This window comes from Homo sapiens, chromosome 5 (genome assembly GCF_000001405.40).
Source record: "Homo sapiens chromosome 5, GRCh38.p14 Primary Assembly".
Lineage (NCBI taxonomy): Eukaryota > Metazoa > Chordata > Mammalia > Primates > Hominidae > Homo > Homo sapiens.
In genome coordinates, this window is record NC_000005.10 from 137,834,172 (window position 1) to 137,853,717 (window position 19,546).

The following is a 19,546-nucleotide window of genomic DNA, read 5'->3' on the forward strand; positions in this document are numbered from 1 at the left end:
TGGCTGAGCATGCCTAATCCAAAAATCCAAAATCTTCAATGCTCCAAAATCCAAAATTTTTTCAGCACTGACATGATGCTCAAAGGACCATTTAAGTATCAGCAAATATTCCAAAATCTGAAGAAAAAACAAATCTCAAACCTGAAACACTTCTGGTCCCAAGCATTTTGGATAAGAGATATTCTTCGGCTTCTATGCTGGACCTAAATTCTTTTTATTGTATTTTAAATGTATAGATCGATTCAGCACAATCAAAAGCACATCCACCAACAGTGTATATAAAAGTCTTACATGTCTAAGAAAAAAATTTCACAATTTAAAATACCTCTCCATAAAGATCTACAACATTGGACAGATTCTCCACTAAAGCCAATGCTAAGATTAATATTAGATTTCCAAAATCAGTAAAATTGTAATTGTGACCCAAACAACTGTGAGCTATCTGGATTGAAGGGAAGGGCAGCTTGAATTTCCATTAAATGCCAATACCAACATTCTTTACATTCCAGCTAAAAATGCTTTCCTTACCATGAGACTTTGGCTTTACCCTGCCTTTTATCTCCTCATTCCCATTTAGATTTGATGTACAATTATTAGTGGTTAATTCGGGGTCACATATTTTCTGTCCTGTTGGGAAGATGAGCACTTCTCAAGTGTGATAAATTGAAAGCTGGAACTGCATCAACTAGAGTAGAATAGGAAGACTCTTCCCCATCCTTTCCAATTTATACACTAGCCTATTTGCACACAGCTGTCATTCCAGTTTATGCTCCTTCTTGCCAGAGAGCAGCGACCCGCCTCAAACACAGCCTTGAGGGGCTCTTTCTTTGGGGACAACAGGAGCAGAAAACCAAACAGACAACGTGGAGGTTGTGAGTATCTTTGAAACGAAGGCTGCTGGTTAACTGGGTTTTCTCATATCATATTGATCCTACAGATGAGGAAAATCAAACGTTCTTAATTCCTTGGGAGCAGGAAAGAGAATACAATCCTGATGATTTTAACTTATAGGAAACCAGTATAGTGGCTTCTTACTTCCAGTCTCAGGACCAAACACATTCATTCACTCACACACACATTCATCAATAAAGACTTAACTAATGTCTATTATTTAAGAACTAAGCAAAATGCAGGAGAGGACTCAAAGATAGACTGGAGCTCAATATTTCCTGGCTCCAAACATCTGCAGCTGTTAAAGGTCCTGCACTGGGCCAGGCACGATGGCTCACGCCTGTAATCCCAGCACTTTGGGAGGCTGAGGTGGGTGGATCACCTGAGGTCAGGAGTTCGAGACCAGCATGGCCAACATAGCGAAACCCCATCTCTACTAAAAAATACAAAATTAGCTGGGCATGCCGGCGTGCACCTGTAATCTCAGCTACTCAGGAGGCTGAGGCAGGAGAATCACTTGAACCCAGGAGGCGGAGGTTGCAGTGAGCCAAGATCATGCCATTGCACTCCAGCCTAGGCGACAAGAGCAAAACTCCGTCTCAAAAAAAAAAGAAAAGAAAAGTTCCTGGACTGCCCAACACTCCTCTTTTTGGTCAGTGTACTTCTGAGAAGCCAGTGCCAATCTCGGTGAGTGGGAGACTAGAAAAAGGAGAAGTTTCCATATTTGTCCTTTCATTCTCTTCATTGCTACTGGGGGCCTTGACTCTGCCCTGGGGAGGCCAGGTAGAATCTGCTGCTGACTTTAAGCCTGGAAATGACAAACAGTAGAGAAAGACAAAGAGAAAACCTACTGATATAGCCAGAAGGAAAGGAAGAGTGTTGTGCGGAAAAAAAGAGAAGGGTAACAAAAGGAGAACAGTTAACAGCTGATCTCTACCAGGGATTATGGGAAGATTCTGACTCACCTTTTAGAGCTCAGCTCCGAAGACTGAGAGTCAATACCTACCTATGAAGGATCCCTAGAAGAGGAGACTGAATTTAAAAGTCTGTTGTGTGCATTATGCTGAACACAAGGAAAGGGGTGGAGGCAGAATAAACATTATTGAATACCTACTGATCTCGCCTTCTATCTCACAGATTCAGTCAAAAAACAGGAAACCCAAGGAATTTGTTTTTGTGTGCTCGGTCTGTGGTTGATTTTTTTTCTTCCATATTTTCCAAATTTTCTATAATGAGAATGCATATTTTGTACAAATATTTAAATAAACTTTATTTAAACAAACAGAACAAACTTCCCAAACTTTCCCCAGAGAAATGGATCCGACTGTTCACTGCTGACTATATGGACTATGAAATCACAGAGCTCCCAGGGATCTTAGCAACAACTGCTGCCAGAGTCTCAATCTGTTGGCTTCTCTGAGTCTAGCAGTTAATAAGAGGATAAGAACATCTGCCTTCCTTACAGGCTTGTTGTGATCACAAGATAAATGTGTGAAAGCATTTTGTGAGCATCAAGGACTTAATCAGTGTGAGACAGTATTATTCCAGTTAAATGCAACTTGCTCTAAAACTAAAAGAAAGTAGGTTCAGATATAAAGAAGGTAGGGATTTGCATGGATTTCCTCCCATTTTAGTTCACATGAGATCCATAGGTTAATTATAACTGGCTAAGGCTTTCTGCTCAGGACATTTGAAGTAATAACAGAAGAGGAATTCAGTGATAAGAATCCTTAACTCCACATCAGGGAACCTGGATCACGGTGCAATCTTCAGGTCCTAGAGAACTGATTTCCTGAGATGCCTTCCCACCTTTCCAACTCTGTTAAAATCTGACCCCTTGGGGGAAACACTGAAACCCAACTGACAGAAGAGAACTAGCAAAAATATATTTGAAGCTAGAAGAAATCAAATTATTTCCCCTGAGATTGACTCTGAGTTTGGTTTTGAGTTCTCACCTTGATGTACTTAGCTATCTCCTAGAGGAGTTGGATGGACTAACTAACTTAAACCTGGCAAGAAGCAGCAATAGGTATATCAGGACAAGGGCTAAGGACTTTTACTGACACTAGTTTATGGCCAAATCTATTTCTCATTCTGGCTCCTATTTATGCAGTGCATTAGGAGAACAGATGATGTCAACACCACCAGGCAGACAAGTTATCTCAATGCTCAGTTCCTGGCAGAAGAATTTGTGCCCTGATTTATTTTTAGTGCTTTTCTACCTTAGTAATCCAGTCAGCTGAAGAAGAGCCAGCAATCTATTCTTGGAGCACACCCATTTATTTATTCCTTAGCAATTAGCAATACATTTAGTCACCTAGGTAAGAATCTACTAGGAGTTTGGGGTCTCATCATTTGCAAACTTACAAAGACCACACAGGATCATTACCCCAATCCAAGTGTAAGTGTGGGCCTCACTATTTCATTAGTAGAAACCTTTTATTCAGGGAGAAAAACAAAGAAAGAGAGGCCGCTAACAAAATCAGGTATGCATAGCCTATCATTTTATCAGCAGGGTGGAGGTTGGGGTGAAAAGTAGGAACTCTACTTCATCTTTTATAAAATGTTAGACCTTAAGTTAAGGCACACATTTAGCTTATCATAAGCTTCAAACTGGACTGTTGCTAGGAGTTCACAACAAACAGTTCCTTTTTACCAAGATGCAGAAAGTGAAATATCAAAAGACTAATCAGCCATTTCCACATCTTTACATTTGGATTTAACCCCAAATATTTAATTTTATTTCAATCTCATACAGCTTGTGAGGACAGACTTATTCAACATCAGCTGTCCTCATATTTAAAAGCTTCACCACAAAGATAAAATTAGAATCAAGTGAGGATCATATTCCTCAGCAAGAATTCTGCTCTATGTCCCACTGATGCCCCAAGCCACAACTGACAAATCAAATACCAGCATTATTGTTGTTTTTCTTAGACACTTCCTAAGCAGCCATAGTATGATAGAAACTGTATAGATAACAAAAAGAGGCAGGATCACTAAACTCATAGAATTATACCCATGGGTATAAATTTATTTCCAAGGTTATTTATCAGCAAAGTGGGAGGAAAGTATGTACTGTCTGGACGGAGCTGGGAGTGACTGGGAAGTCAACTATCACAAAACCCCTTTTTATTGTTGGTACTTTCCACTTCAGGAATTTTCCAAACTTGGATGAGGTTCAAATTAGACTAAAGACTGGGTAAAGTACAACTGTTAACACCAAATGTCATCATCTTGGTATTAGACATTGGTGTGACAATGTATTATATTTTAAAAAATGAAAAAGAATCTCAAGATTTTAAACTATTAGTTGTTGAACAATCACCTTTAATGGAGTCTAATTGTAAAAATGTAGCTGTAAAAATACATCGTTAATGTTCTGTGTTCAATTTGGAGGCATTTTACCAGAGGGGAAAATAATTCAGTTCTCAACAGGCATTTTACAAGAAGGAAAAGCAGAAGCAACCAATAAACACATAAAAGATGCACAGCCTCACTTATGACGAAAAATAAAGCAAGTTTACAAAACAATGGGATATATTATAAGAAGCATTGAGGAAGTTATTCTCAAATAACTACTGAGAATGTACCATTTAATAAAAGGGCAATTTAGCTGTAACTATTAAAATATAAAATGAATATTATTTTATCCCCTGTAATTCCACTATAGTATGATCCCATTTGTGAAAAAAATAAAATTATACACAGAGCTGAATATGCAGATAAATTTTCTGTATAGATATACAAGAAACTGTTAATAGTAGAAATTGGGGATTTGGAAAGGTCAGTTGTACCTTTCACTTTGTACCTTCGGTACTCTGAATTTTTAGAATTTTTGTCCTTAAGCATTTACTACTTTTATTTTTAAAAATATTTTTGCAGTAATAGGTTTATTTCAATTTTCAGGAAAATTCATTTGTGTGGATCACCCAAGTCCCTAAAAATGCCTTATGCATCAAAAGAATTAAATTATACTCAGTAGTTTTAGCACTGACTGTATTTTGCTATATCCTAAGTTTCTGACATTGGTAATTCCTGTATGTTCTGTAGAATAAGCCAGAACTCCATTCACTTACTAGGACAGATAACAAAGAAGGAACTTTTATTTTGAAAGTGGATTTGACCTCCCAGGATATATTTCTTCACACCCTGGTATCATGTCAATGATTAGAAAACATTTCATGTCAGGCAATTATAAGTACAATACTCTGAGCACACCAAATACTCCAAGACATTCATACCAAATTCCCACAAGATATTTTTCCAAGACCTCTGGCCCCAGGTTCAAGAAGGCAAGAATGTCACACTGAGTAAATGGCAGGCAAGCATGTTTTGATATGTGAAAGCCCTCTGTAAATTACTAAATGGAACAGAAATTTAGATAGTAGAATGTTAGTATATTTTGTTGGGGCTACTGCCTTACCTGATCTCACCAAGCATCAGACTGGGTGGGATAACTACTTGAACTATCTGCATTGTGAAATTATACTAAACAGAAAAGCTCTCCATAGGTATAGGCTCATGTAGCAACTTTAATTTCATTCTCTCACTTTTGGCAGACCCTGTAGACAGGACGGACACTCCCTGATATTACTTTTGAGTGTGTGTTCATGTAGATTTAAAAAAATAGACTTCAGGTGCATAATTAATCATATTTTGTATTATTAACATGCATGGTACTCTTCTACTTTATTTTATTTACTGGTTCATTTCCTTATTTATTTTAATAATATAACAAATCCAGTGAATCAATTACTCAAACCCAAGAACTACAACAATAACAATAATTCACATCATCTGTTTACTTCTCCCTTATCTCTTCCCCTTACTTTCCCCCAATTGTAACCACTATCCTATATTTTGTGTTTATCATGTCCTTGCTTTTTAAATAGTCTCATCAAGGATATATTATTGCATCTTAAGCTGAAATAGGATAATTAAGCAGAATGAATTCCTTCATTCACCATTAACATTACAAGGATCCTGCATTAAACACTCTAGGAAATACACAGATGCTTGAAACAGCAGAGGACTGTATTTGGCACTCAATACATTTTGATAAATTGGATCTAGAAATTTACCGTATTTTATGACTGCATCCTTAAATAAGCAAGGGATTTGCAGGGATCTCTTGGAATTTGGGCGGACTAAAGAGATTTGTGATCCAAACAACTCCTTATTCTCACCCAGGGACAGTCTGTAAAGCAGGTAGCTTCTCTATTGCCAGTGCCCTCCTCTCTCCTTCCTGCAACTTTTTCTCATTTGGCATTAAGGGCCAGGAGTTGAGTCTCTCCTACTAAATACCTAATATAAAACTTCTAGCGCATCTGTCCTATACATGATGACAGATAAATCTCCCTTAAGTACAGGTCCTATCATGTCACTCTCTACCCAGTATAGAAAACTACAATGATTCTTTTACATAGAATATCACCTAAATCCTTACCTTGGCATTCAAGGCTCTTTGAGATCTGATCTTCCCTGTCAAACTGACTTGCTATTCCCTATGCATGCCTTACATTTTAACCAATGCTAAGACTTTATTCAGCTATTTGCCAAAGTGTAGTCTGTGGACCAGCAGCATCATGGACCAGCAGCATCTATTTTACCTAGGAGTTGGTAAGAAATCCCAGACATACTAAATCAGAATCTGCATTCTAACAAGATTTTGGAATGATGCATATACATGTTAAATTTTGAGAATCACTGTAAAACTATCAAGTGGTTTTCCATGGTACTTGAGAAGCTGTTATTATTATTTCTTTCCCTGCTGAATATGTGAGCACTTAGAAAGCAAAAGATCAGCCAGGCGAAGGGGCTCACGCCTGTAACCCCAGCACTTTGGGAGGCTAAGGCAGGCAGATCACAAGGTCAGGAGTTTGAGACCATCCTGGCCAATATGGTGAAACAATCTCTACTAAAATACAATCTCTACTAAAAATACGAAAAAATTAGCCAGGTGTGGTGGCACATGCCTGTAATACAGCTACTCAGGAGGCTGAGGCAGGAGAATTCCTTGAATCCAGCAGGCGGAGCTTGCAGTGAGCTGAGATCGCGCCACTGCACTCCAGCCTGGGCAACAGAGTAAGACTCCGTCTCAAAAAATAAAAAATAAAAAAATAAAATAAAATAAACAAAGCAAAAGGTTATCCAAATTATGTGCCTAAAATATGTTGTCTACACACCCGTAATCCCAGCAGTTTGGTAGGCTGAAGCAGGCAGATCGCTTGAGCCTAGGAGATGGAGACCAGCCTCAGCAACAGGGCAAAACCCTGTTTCTACAAAAAAAAAATTAGCCAGGCGTTGTGGCGCACGCCTGTAGTCCCAGCTACTCAGGAGGCTGAGGTGGGGAGGATGGCTTGAGTCTGGGAGGTTGAGGCTGCAGTGAGTGCCACTGCACTCAAGTCTGGGCAACAGAGCGAGAACCTGTCTCAATAAATAAATAAAATATCTGTCTAGCCATCAGAAACAAAGGAATACACTGAGTGGATACTTCATAAATATCTATAGCTTGACTAATTTTGTTCCTGATTTCAGCTAAAAAGGTAACTAAAATCATAATCTTTCACTCTATTGTCTGACAAATGAGGTGCACCATAGACATCACATCCACATAAACGCACATAGGCAAACACACATACACAGGGTCTTCTATAGATAGAATTTTTAACAGGAAAGCAACTTGCAAAAGAAAGCGATATTAAAGCCTGCCATGAAAATCAAAGCTGTTTTCAATCAACTGGACAAAATCCCTTTAAATTCCCTTTAAACTGAAATTGAGGGTCTATATGTACTTGATGGACTGTGAGGTTATATGGGGCTCTAATATTCAATAATTATGTGACCCTAGGGAACATTGCTTCTGCACTGTCCCAGAAGTGACTGTAGGGACCAGTGACAGCCCTGAGATTAAGACTGAAGCTATAAAGCCTGACTGCTTCTCTCAGTGCTCTCTAAGTCCCAGCTTCTCTATAATCTCCCCAAAATGCTACTGCTCTTCGCATGTATTTATTATCATGACCACTCAGCCCCCCAGCCCCGCTTCCTCGCACTTCAAACTGCCCCTTGCCTCCATGAGCTTGTCACTGTCCCCCTTCTCTCCCCCTCTGTGCCTCAGCTTCTCAGTCTCTCGCACAGATCAGTACTGCCAAGGTGGCGAGGAGCTAAATTAAACTGTACTAGTGGAAGAGGGTAAGGGAAAAAAGATATAGTGCTAACCTGTCCCGATCATCCTCTTCCCCTCCCCTTGTAGAATTCATTTATTTTTCTTTCTCTCTCTCTTTTTTTTTTTAAAGATTCAGGGGTACATGTTCAGGTTTGTTACGTGGATATATTGCGTGATGCTGAGAGAACTGCAGTGGGGTGTCATCATATCATTTTCTGTAGTGAGGCGGCTGGACCTAGTGAGAATTTGCCCTTTGGGTATTGTAAATATCTTTATTTCCTGAACATAGTTTCAGTTCTGTCTCTGGCAAGGCCTCCAAAGTGAGTCTTGGGGCTTTGACCCAAAGCTATTTCACATCCAAAAAATTGAATCAACACATTTATCACGCATCTCGCTCATATTTTGGAAACAGATTTTTACACACTGTCTAGTTCAACTAACTGCAATGCCACATATATCTTCTTATGTATCTAAGCAATAAACATAGACCATTCTCAGAGTTAAGTTTCTGACCCAGTGTTCTGCATATGAGAAGGTTATTGGTGGAAATCTGTTTACATCCTTAAGAGAGTCCTGCTAAACCCAAAGCCTAGTTACAAAGTAGAACCACAATGAGATACCATCTCATGCCAGTTAGAATGGCGATCATTAAAAAGTCAGGAAACAACAGATGTTGCAGAGGATGTGAAGAAATAGGAATGCTTTTACACTGTTGGTGGGAGTGTAAATTAGTTCAACCATTGTGGAAGACAGTGTGGCGATTCCTCAAGGATCTAGAACCAGAAATACCACTTGACCCAGCAATGCCATTACTGGGTATATACCCCAAGGATTATAAATCATTCTGCTATAAAGACACATGCACATGTATGTTTATTGCAGCATTATTCACAATAGCAAAGACTTGGAACCAACCCAAATGCCCATCAATGATAGACTGGATAAAGAAAATGTGGCACATATACACCATGGAACACTATGCAGCTATAAAAAGAATGAGTTCATGTCCTTTGTAGGGACATGGATGAAGCTGGAAACCATCATTCTCAGCAAACTAACACCGGAACAGAAAACCAAACACTGCATGTTCTCACTCATAATTGAGAGTTGAACAATGAGAACACATGGACATAGGGAGGGGAACATCACATACCGGGGCCTGTTGTGGGGTCGGGGGCTAGGGGAGGGATAGCGTTAGGAGAAATACCTAATGTAGGTGACGGGTTGATGGATACAGCAAACAACCATGGCATGTGTATACCTATGTAACAAACCTGCACATTCTGTACATGTATTCCAGAACTTAAAGTATAATTTTAAAAAAAAGAAGAAGTTTGGACTTTAAGAACATGTGTAAAAATAAAGGTTCATCTGGACAGAAAAATAAAGAAAGTAGAACTTCAGGCTTTTCATTACAGCCTAGGTCCCCTTTCCTCTTATTTCCCAAGAAGTACACATTATGAGATTTACTCACACAGGTCAGGGAAGTACTTAAAGGAAGATCTCTCTGCTCTAGGGATGAACTGTGTGGATTTTATTCCTGGCTCCACAGCTTACTAGCCATGTGACTCTGGGCAATTTGTGTAAACCCTCTAAGCTCATGTTTCCTTTCTTGTAAAATGGGAATGATAATATCCCTAGATATTGGAGTTGTTGTGAGGAGTGAATGAGATTATGTATATAAAGTGGTTAGTACAGTGCCTAGGTGATTAACTCCATTTCACAGTTATTAAAAATTAAGGTCAGAGGGTTGTTGTGAATGATCTTTTTTTTTTTTTTTAATTTGCAAAGCCCGCTTAATGCTACAGATTCTCCTCTCTAGGACTCTTCTACTTGCACACATCTCTAGCACATGACACTGTCCATGTGGGAGGTAACCTGACTCCCAGCTAACGACAGTATGGGGTCTTAGCTGTCCTTATGCACGCAGTGTTCCTCTGGGCAATAACTCTGTGTATGTATGCATGGCTAACAGAAATGGAATAGCCCCTTTTAAAAATTGGGCGTGACTTTATAACATAAAAACTTATGTACTAAATCCAGTGGCATCAAAAAGGACAAACAGGCTGAGAACAGTGGGCTCACACATGTAATCCCAACACTCTGGGAGGGAGGGATGGGAGGATTGCTTGAACCCAGGAGTTCAAGACCAGCCCAAGCAACATAGCAAAAGTCCATGTCCACAAAAAAAAAGTTTAAAAATTAGCTGAACATGGTGGCATGAGCCTATAGTCCAACTACTCAGGAGGCTGAGGAGGGAGGATCACTTGAGCTCAGGAGTTCAAGGTTTCAGTGAGCTATATTATCGTAATACTGCACTCCAGCTTGGGTGACAAAGTGAGACCCCATTTCAAAAAAAACAAAAACAAAAAAAAGACAAACATCCTTTTCCTATTTTAGGTGACATGTCAAAGGAAATAGAAGTTTGAGGGTTAAATATCAAAGTATTTTCTGCATTCAGCAGGACGTAAAAGACATCTAATCTCCCCTACCTCTAAGATGATGTCTCTGCTTCAGAATGCCACCACTGGAGAGGGTGCCATTGGGGTTCAAGCAATGGCTCTTCCTAAAGACAAATGAAGGGGTGAAATGTGTTTATGAAGAAATGTGTGTCTTTAAACCAGTCTATCAGAGATAAGAATAAAACAAGTCAGTTTTGATGTGGGCTTGAGGAAGTGATAGGTTTGGAGGGCTAGTTCTAAAGGAAGAAAACACTATAATGTGTGTGTAGGAAAGGGTTCTGGGGAGGGGCAGACAGAAGAGGTGAGGAGAGCTTGCAAAATATAAACTATATCAGTCAGCAGTTCTGCCAAAAGCTGGATTTGAAGTTGTTTGTTGCTTCTGGGACAGGAAGGCTCTTAACTGTAGGCAACTTTTCTCCTGTCATCTCTCATCAGCATGATCACTACAAGTGTTAGAGAGTGAGACCCAGGAAGCAGTGTAGACTATTCACTTGGAATATGGGCCCCCCACCATCACTGTTCCTCTCCTTTGCCCTAGGGCCAGGTCAATTTCAACATTTCACCCTCAAATAAGAAAAAAAGATCATAAACACAATCTTTAGCTAAATTTGAAAGTTCCCTAACAAAACAAAGTGAAAAGTAGCTTGCCACATCATTCAACTTTTTATCTTAGTATTTGAACCCTAAGGCCTGAATTTTTTATAAAGAAGAATTCTACAAATTGGGTCTTTTAAAGCTAGTTCCTCTATTGTCAAAAGAACAACTGGGGAAAGACAGTCTTTTAAGAGATGGTTCTTGGAACATTTTATTTTGGTGCCCTAAGCCCTCATGTGAGAGATCTACTACCAGGAGGTCACTATCCTGTGAGCTCAAGCCACATGGAGATCACTGAAAGATGAGACACCAAGTTGGGGACTGGGGTGAACTGACAAAGATGGCACAAAGGTGCCATACATGTGAGTGAAGAAACCATCTGGGAAATGCATAATCTAGTCCCAGCTGTCAACACTTGGATCAGAGATGAACTGCTCAGCCAGCTCTTCTCAAATTCCTAAACTAAAACATTAAGCCACAGGAGAAAGACCATATGCCCCAGAAGAGCCCTCCAGTGAGCAAGATTTTAAAGATATGCCCCAGTTGTTTCTAATTCCACTAGGATTTCAGTATCAAGGGAAAGAAGTAGTAACATTCATAACTCATGACAGGCATCATATCCTTTGATGGAGAAGCTGTCTGAGAAAGGCCATGAACAATGTGGACTTTGACAACAAGAAAACAAGTACAGTAAGGGTTGAGCTACATAGATATTCAAATAGAAATGCATCTTTTGTAACAACTTCATAGAGTAAATGGTTTTATATAAAAATACAATTTAGATATAGGAACCATGAGAACCAGGACAGTAAGTATTTTAATCTAACATGGAGAGACATATGATTAACAATCACAAGACAGACCTCCTCTTTGGCACTTTGTAAAATCAAAAAATTTGACAAAACACTGGGGACAAGACAAAACTCTAAATGTGATGAAGTAAAATTTCCAGTCACGTAGAAAATAGCTCACCCTTGACATCAGTTTAATGTGTTGAAAATTTTTTAAAAGTGATTTCTTTTTCCCGAAAGCAAGCAAGCAAGAAAACAAAAGGTACAGAGACCAATGTGAAGGCTGTATGCTAATAAATTGAGAGATATGAAATAATTAAAATCTACTTTTGTTAGAAAATGGTCTAGATCAACTGGGGAAGAAATAGTGAGATGCATCTTTAGAATCTCCCATGTATCAAGCTTCCTTAAGAACTTTTCAAAACTGTCACCAAAATACTCAGTTGATGTCAAATATCATCATCTTCTTGAGCAGCTTGAGTATGTTCACAAAACAGATGCATTTATTTTTGCAGGGACTAATATTACAGTCACAGTGGTGACTGTGAACTGACACAGTGGGCCACAGCAGAAGCTGGATTTGTTCAGAAACTGATGAAAACCATCTCATACACACAAAACTCACAACTCCTTTACTGACTTAATTCACATACCTCTTTCCTCAACTATTTGTTCTCCCTCCACCCCTGTTAGGTGTAATAGAAAATAAAAAATGGCCAGGTGCAGTGGCACACACCTGAAGTCTCAGCTGCTCCAGAGGCTGAGGTGAAGATTGCTTGAAGCCAGGAGTTTGAGGCTGTAGTGTGCTAGGATCACCCATATGAACAGCTACTGCACTCCAGCCTGGGCAACATGGCAAGATCCTGTCTCTTAAAAAATAAAAAAATTAAAAATGAATAAAGTAATTAAATTGTTAAAATCTTTCACAATATCTGGTGCTTTATGGACACTTTGAATTATCTTTATGTGAATAAAGGTTACCTAGTATGGCATCTGTTACCAAATAGAAGATAAATAAATATGCAAACACTAAATCTCCAGCCTGTGCTACCTACCTAGCAAGACTCCATTTCTACAAAAAAAAAAAAAAAAATTAGCGAGGCATAGTGGCACATGCCTGTAGTCCTAGCTACTGGGGAGGCTGAGGTGGGAGGATCACTTAAGCCCAGGAGTTCAAGGTTGCAGTAACATATGGTCGTGCCACTGCACTCCAGACTGGGTGACAGAGTAAGACCCTGTCTCTAAAATCAAAACAAAACAAAAACACTAAATAATAAAATAGGCAAGCAAAAGAAAATAAATGGAACAACACAATAAACTCTCCAACAAATCAAAATAACTTAAGCAACATTTTAAAAGAATGCAGAGTTTAGGTTATTGTATGAATTTAAAATATTCTCACTAATGTGACATTTTAATACATTTAAAATACTGTACATTGCTAAACCTGCTTTATCTTACTTCTCTTTCCTCTTTTTTTCCGAATGAAGCTACTGTCAAATTCTTCAGTTGTTCACTTTTAAATAGATCTAATGTCCTATTTTTCAGACCACTGAACCTATATAATATCCATGAAGCTAGTATAACTCTGCAGACATCCTAGCTATTCAGGCAATGTTATAAAGGCATCATCATTGTTCATTTGTCTGATCTCTATGTATCTTGTCATCTTTCCAGGGTAAGATTGCCAAGGTCTTGGACTCTTCATTTGGTGGAGTCTAATTCTGTTCTCTTTACAAAGAGCTAGGGTTACACTCAGCAAAGGTTACCATTTACGTGAGACATGAAGCCGGCTAGCGTAACGCATCACCAAAGTAAAACCCCTGGCTATTTTTTCCCTCAAGGACATCCCCAGTGCCACATAAAATCAAGAAAGAACACTTCAGGATAGGTCACACGTAGGGCCTGCATGTACTATGAACCCACACTTTCATTTTTATATTCTGGAGTGCGCTATTTTCAGAACAGTCAGACAAAGGGGTATTTTTCCTTTTGAAAAATCTCCTTTTCTCTCCCCTAGAGGAAAATACATGAGAATCAAATGTAAGAGACTACAGTGGCTTTAGCAAGAGAAGCCAATATTTAAGGGTGAGCTTTCTTTTAGAAATTATTCCTTTTTGTGTTTGGCTTTGCTTTATCATTTACTCAAATTAGTTATCAAAGATTTTTAATAAATAAATAATATTTTAAATTGTTTCAGTAATTTCTAAGACTCAGCTCATTATCTTTCAAACCTCTGCATTCTGAAGTGGCAGTCAAAGCCAGTGCCCTAAGTGCTGACTGCTTTTGCTTTAAGCACTAACGTTCATCTTTCTTTCTCTTATCCTCGGATGGAAATTCATCTACTCTGGTAATTCTGAAAATTGGAGATTTTAAAGCATGATCGGGCTTCGAGATTTTTTTTAAATGTTTAAAAATAGCAAATATTAAACCTAGAAGAAACCTTAGGGACCATCTCACTTCTGATATAACTGAGACCCCAAAAGTCTTGCCCAAATCATAACTAATAAACGACAGCCATAAAACAGAATCCAGATTGCCTTAATCTTGAATTAGTGCTCTCTTTCACCATATTACTTGATCTTTCTATATTTTTATCCATTTCAGATACAGATTATATAACTCAGCAATATGCCCAAAGTAAGATTCAGGGCATTTCTTTGTTCCATTAGTCATCACTGTCTTTTTTCATTGGTTGGAAGATCAGGGACAGGAAACAGGAAACTCCTTCTTGGCCTCCCCACCCCATGGATTAAATGGTAGCAGGGGCTGCCTGGTGCCTTGCCCATGAAGCTTGACTATTCATGCTTAGAAGGAGGAGCATCATGAACATTAAGAAACCAGGTACAAAGACCCTTCTCTTTATAAAGATTGAATTTTCTCTTTTTTGTTTTCATTAGCTTAAGGATATAAAACAATTTCAAGGTGGCAAAAGCCTGAATTCCACACACCACCAAAACTATTCTGCTCATCTTTTCCAGCTATTCCTTTGAGATGTGCCAGGAGCTTAGAGGATGTTTTATCCTCTTGCACCAACTGACCTTACACATTTACTTATAAGGCATGTTTCTTCCAAAAAGTTCCAGAAGTTTCATATATACTCTCTCATATGCTTCCCCCACAGGGGGAAGCATTTCATTTTTATTTTTTTGCCATAGCCAAAGTTTCCCTGTTGTTTCCAGGGTTTCTTTCCAGAGTTTGATGCTTAAAGTTTAGACTCTCTGGAAGTCACAAACATTCCCAAATGAAGTCTCAACCAATACTGCCAACAAAGCCAACTTATTCATTCAACAATTACTTATTGAGCATCTCCTGTGTGCCTGGCACTATTCCAGACACTAGGGATTCAAGAGTGAACAAAACAGACTAAATATCCATCATCATGGAGCTTACATACAAAATAAAAGTTTTGTTTTTTGTTTTTTTTTTTAGATGGAGTCTCGCTCTGTCGCCCAGGGTGGAGTGCAGTGGCGCAATCTCGGCTCACTACAATCTCCGCCTCCTGGGTTCACGCCATTCTCCTGCCTCAGCCTCCCGAGTAGCTGGGACTACAGGCGCCCGCCACCACGCCCGGCTAATTTTTTTGTATTGTTAGTAGAGACGGGGTTTCACTGTGTAAGCCAGGATGGTCTTGATCTCCTGACCTCGTGATCCACCCACCTTGGCCTCCCAAAGTGCTGGGATTACAGGCGTGAGCACCGCGCCCGGCCATAAAAGTACTTTTAAGTCCTTTTAAAAGTAAAGTCCTTCTGGGACTTTAATGGACTGTCTGGTAATGGATGTTCTGGTAATGGACTGTTCCCTTACTCACTGAATTCAGAACCATAAACACATTCTAATCTAATAAAAGATTTAAAAAAATTACAGTCTCAACTACTCAGAATAATATCCACAGTTTTGAATTTATCGAGTAATAAAGAGTCCATTTGCTATAAACCTGCATGGATTGCGCTATAAGACAAGAGACTCAGATTCTAATCTTGACTCTTCTACCAACAGATTGCATGACCTTGAACAAATAACATACTCTCTCTGAACCTTACTTTTGTTTTCCAAAGATGTAAGGCAAGAAGATTTCTCATGTCATCTCTTGCTCTGTAATCATAGGATTGGTTAACCTCACCTAAGATGACTGGTGTAATACTAGGATTTACTGCCAAGGTCAAAAGAGGAGGAATCCTTCTATATCAATTGCTTTTATTTGTCAGGCGGGGTTAAGGAAAACAGCAGAAGGCAACATACACCTCCTAGGAAAATGTAGTATCTCCCTGTGCAATAATCTGCGAAATCAACCAACTCCACACCTATGTGTTCAACAGTAGGCCAGACACTTTGTGGATAGGAGACACATTACATATTAAAAGATCCCTGATCTTAAGGAATTTCCAAAGAAAGTACATGATAATAGATTATTTAAAACAAAAGTGTATTATAGAAGTTCTAAGTTCACAAGAGAAGAAATATCAAGGAGGCCTAGATTAGTAACCTCTGAGGAAGGGTAGACTATCCCCTGGATCTCCATATAACAACCATCATCACAATAATAATAGCAGCTAACATTCATTGAGCGCTTGATATGTATCATATATAAACTAAGTGCTTTTGTAAGCCACCTAACCCTAGAAATAAACACTACTATTGTGTCTTTTTAACCGATAAGGATCATGAGACTTAGAGGGAAACCTAACGTACCTAACAGTAAATGCAAACAATCTGACGCCAGAGTATTCCACACCATCTAATGGTCATGGGCTGCTTGCCTCACCCTCGAGATAAAGGTACAAGCCACAGTATCTGGCACACAGTTTAATGTTCCGTGAATGTTACTTAATGCCCTTCTCTATCCATCCCCCACTACCATTCACCCTCAACCCTCATCTCACATACATACCTCATTCTAAACATTCTTCAAAATTCAGTTGAAGGTCCACACTGACCTTCTTAGACCAATCAAGCTTCTTTCTCCTTATTTCTAGCACTTACTTCTCAAAGCCTTCCAGGTCATCATGCACTGTCTTGTGATGTCACTGGCATGATTTAATGTCTTATGACATTAATGTTTCTTATGTCTTATGATATTATTAAGATGAACCTATATTATTATTCATCTTTTGCACTACTGACCTTCTCATATAATTTAATTGTGTCAGTTAACTCCAAAATCCTTTGTGTTGTTCCTGGAGTCTTAGTAAAAAAGGCATGAGGAAGCATTCACCAATGCAAGAGTTTGACTGTGAAGTTTTCATTTTTAGAAAAATGATCCAAGTCAAGCAAATGCAGCTAGCATGTCAAAGTTTGATTCCACCCTGTTTAGAGAATATGTAGATATAGGTTCTTTCTGTTTGTGCCTAATTTTAGACATAAAAGTAATCTATGCATGTTTATAATACTCTATCTCATGCATGTTCACAGAACTGAATTTATCTTCTTCTGAACTACTGAGAATACTATCTGTTCTTTGAAAATGAAAAAACTGGCCAGGCATGGTAGCTCACATCTGTAATCCCAGCACTTTGGGAGGCTGAGGCAGGTGGATCACCTGAGGTCAGGAGTTCAAGACCAGCCCAATCAACTTGGTGAAACCCTGTCTCTACTAAAAATACAAAAAAATTCACCAAGCATGGTGGCACATGCCTGTAATCCCAGTTACTCAGGAGGCTAAAGCAGGAAAATAGCTTGAACCAAGGAGGCAGAAGTTGCAGTGAGCCAAGATCACACCACTGCACTCCAGCCTGGGCAACAGAGCGAGACACCATCTCAAAAAAAAAAAAAAAAAGAAGAAGAAGAAGAAAATGAAAAAATTAACTCTTACAAAAACAAAAGGCAGCTTCAGTTCACAGATTTATTTTAATCTTATGAATTTATTATAAAATACTACATACATAGGAAAGAGTTAATATAATATATATGTACAGTTTAAATAATAATAAAAGGTACATTCTATACCCACTATCTACCTTAACAAATAAAACATGAAGTAGCATTAGTAAATCTTTTTACATCACCTAAGTTTTAGTCTAAAGCAAATTAAGCCTGATACGGTAATACAACTTCAAGATGATAAAGGGTTTTTAAAGACTGAAAAGAGCCACCAAGTATTAAGAGATTATATATTGAGATTAGGAGGAGATTAGATAAATCTAGTTCTAATAATGGTATCAAACACTATATATAAAAGACTTTTAAGTGGGAACCAATTTTTTTTCATTAAAGCATTGTTGTGTAATGCAAACTTATGACCTAAATTTTCTCGAATAGTTAGTTTTAGATATTCTATTTCCATAAACCAATGACTTTCTGGAAATTACCATATTTTGTTATTTAGGCTAATCTACATCTTCCAATCGACCTCTCCTACATGGAAATAATATAAAAGTTCTTTGTGGGGCCATGTGACCTAAATGTTGGTTTGAGGAAATAAATCATCATAGTGTAAAAAAAGTATCAGGCCACAAGTTTAGGAGATCCTAACTCTAATGTCTATTGAATTATTGGCTCTGTAAGAGCCAAATCATGAATGAAATCCTATTCACGACTGCCACAAAAAGAATAAAATACCTAGGAAGACAACTAATGGGAAGTGAAGGGCGTATTCAAGGAGAACTCCAAACCACTGCTCAAAGAAATCAGAAAGGACACAAACGAATGGAAAAATATTCCATTCTCATGGATAGGAAGAATCAATATGTAAAAATGGCCATACTGCCCAAAGCAATTTATAGATTCAATGCTATTCCCATTAAACTACCATTGACATTCTTCACAAAATTAGAAAAAAAAAATTTAAAAATTCATATGAAACCCAAAAAGAGCCCAAATACCAAAGACAATCCTAAGCAAGAAGAATAAAGCTGGAGGTATCACACTACCCAACTTCCAATTACACTACAAGGCTACAGTAACCAAAACAGCATGGTATGGTACAAGAACAGACAGATATACCAATGGAACAGAATAGAGAACCTGCTAGCGAGGTTGTGGAGAAAAAAGAATGCTTTTACACTGTTAGTGGAAGTGTAAATTGTTCAACCACTGTGGAAGACAGTGTAGCAATTCTTCAAAGACCTAGAGGCAGAAATACCATTTGACCCAGCCACCCCATTACTGGGTATATACCCAAAGGAATATAAATCATTCTATTATAAAGATACATGCACATGTATATTCATTGCAGCACTATTCACAATAGCAAAGACATGGAATCAACCTAAATGCCCACCAATAATAGACTGGATAAAGAAAATGTGGTACATATACACCATGGAATACTATGCAGCCATAAAAAGGAACAAGATCATGTCCTTTGCAGGGACATTGATGGAGCTGGAAGCCATTATCCTCAGCAAACTAATGCAGGAACAGAAAACCAAATACCACATGTTCTCACTTATAAGTGGGAGCTGAATGATGAGAACACATGGACACACTGAGGGTAACAACACACACTAGGGCCTGTTGGAGAATGAGGGGTGGGAGGAGGGAGAGCATCAGGAAGAACAGCTAATCGATGCTGGGCCTAATACCTAGGTGATGGAATGATCTGTGCAGCAAACCACCATGGCACATGTTTACCTATGTAACAAACCTACACATCTTGTACATGTACCCCAGAACTTAAAATAAAACTTGGAAATAAAAAA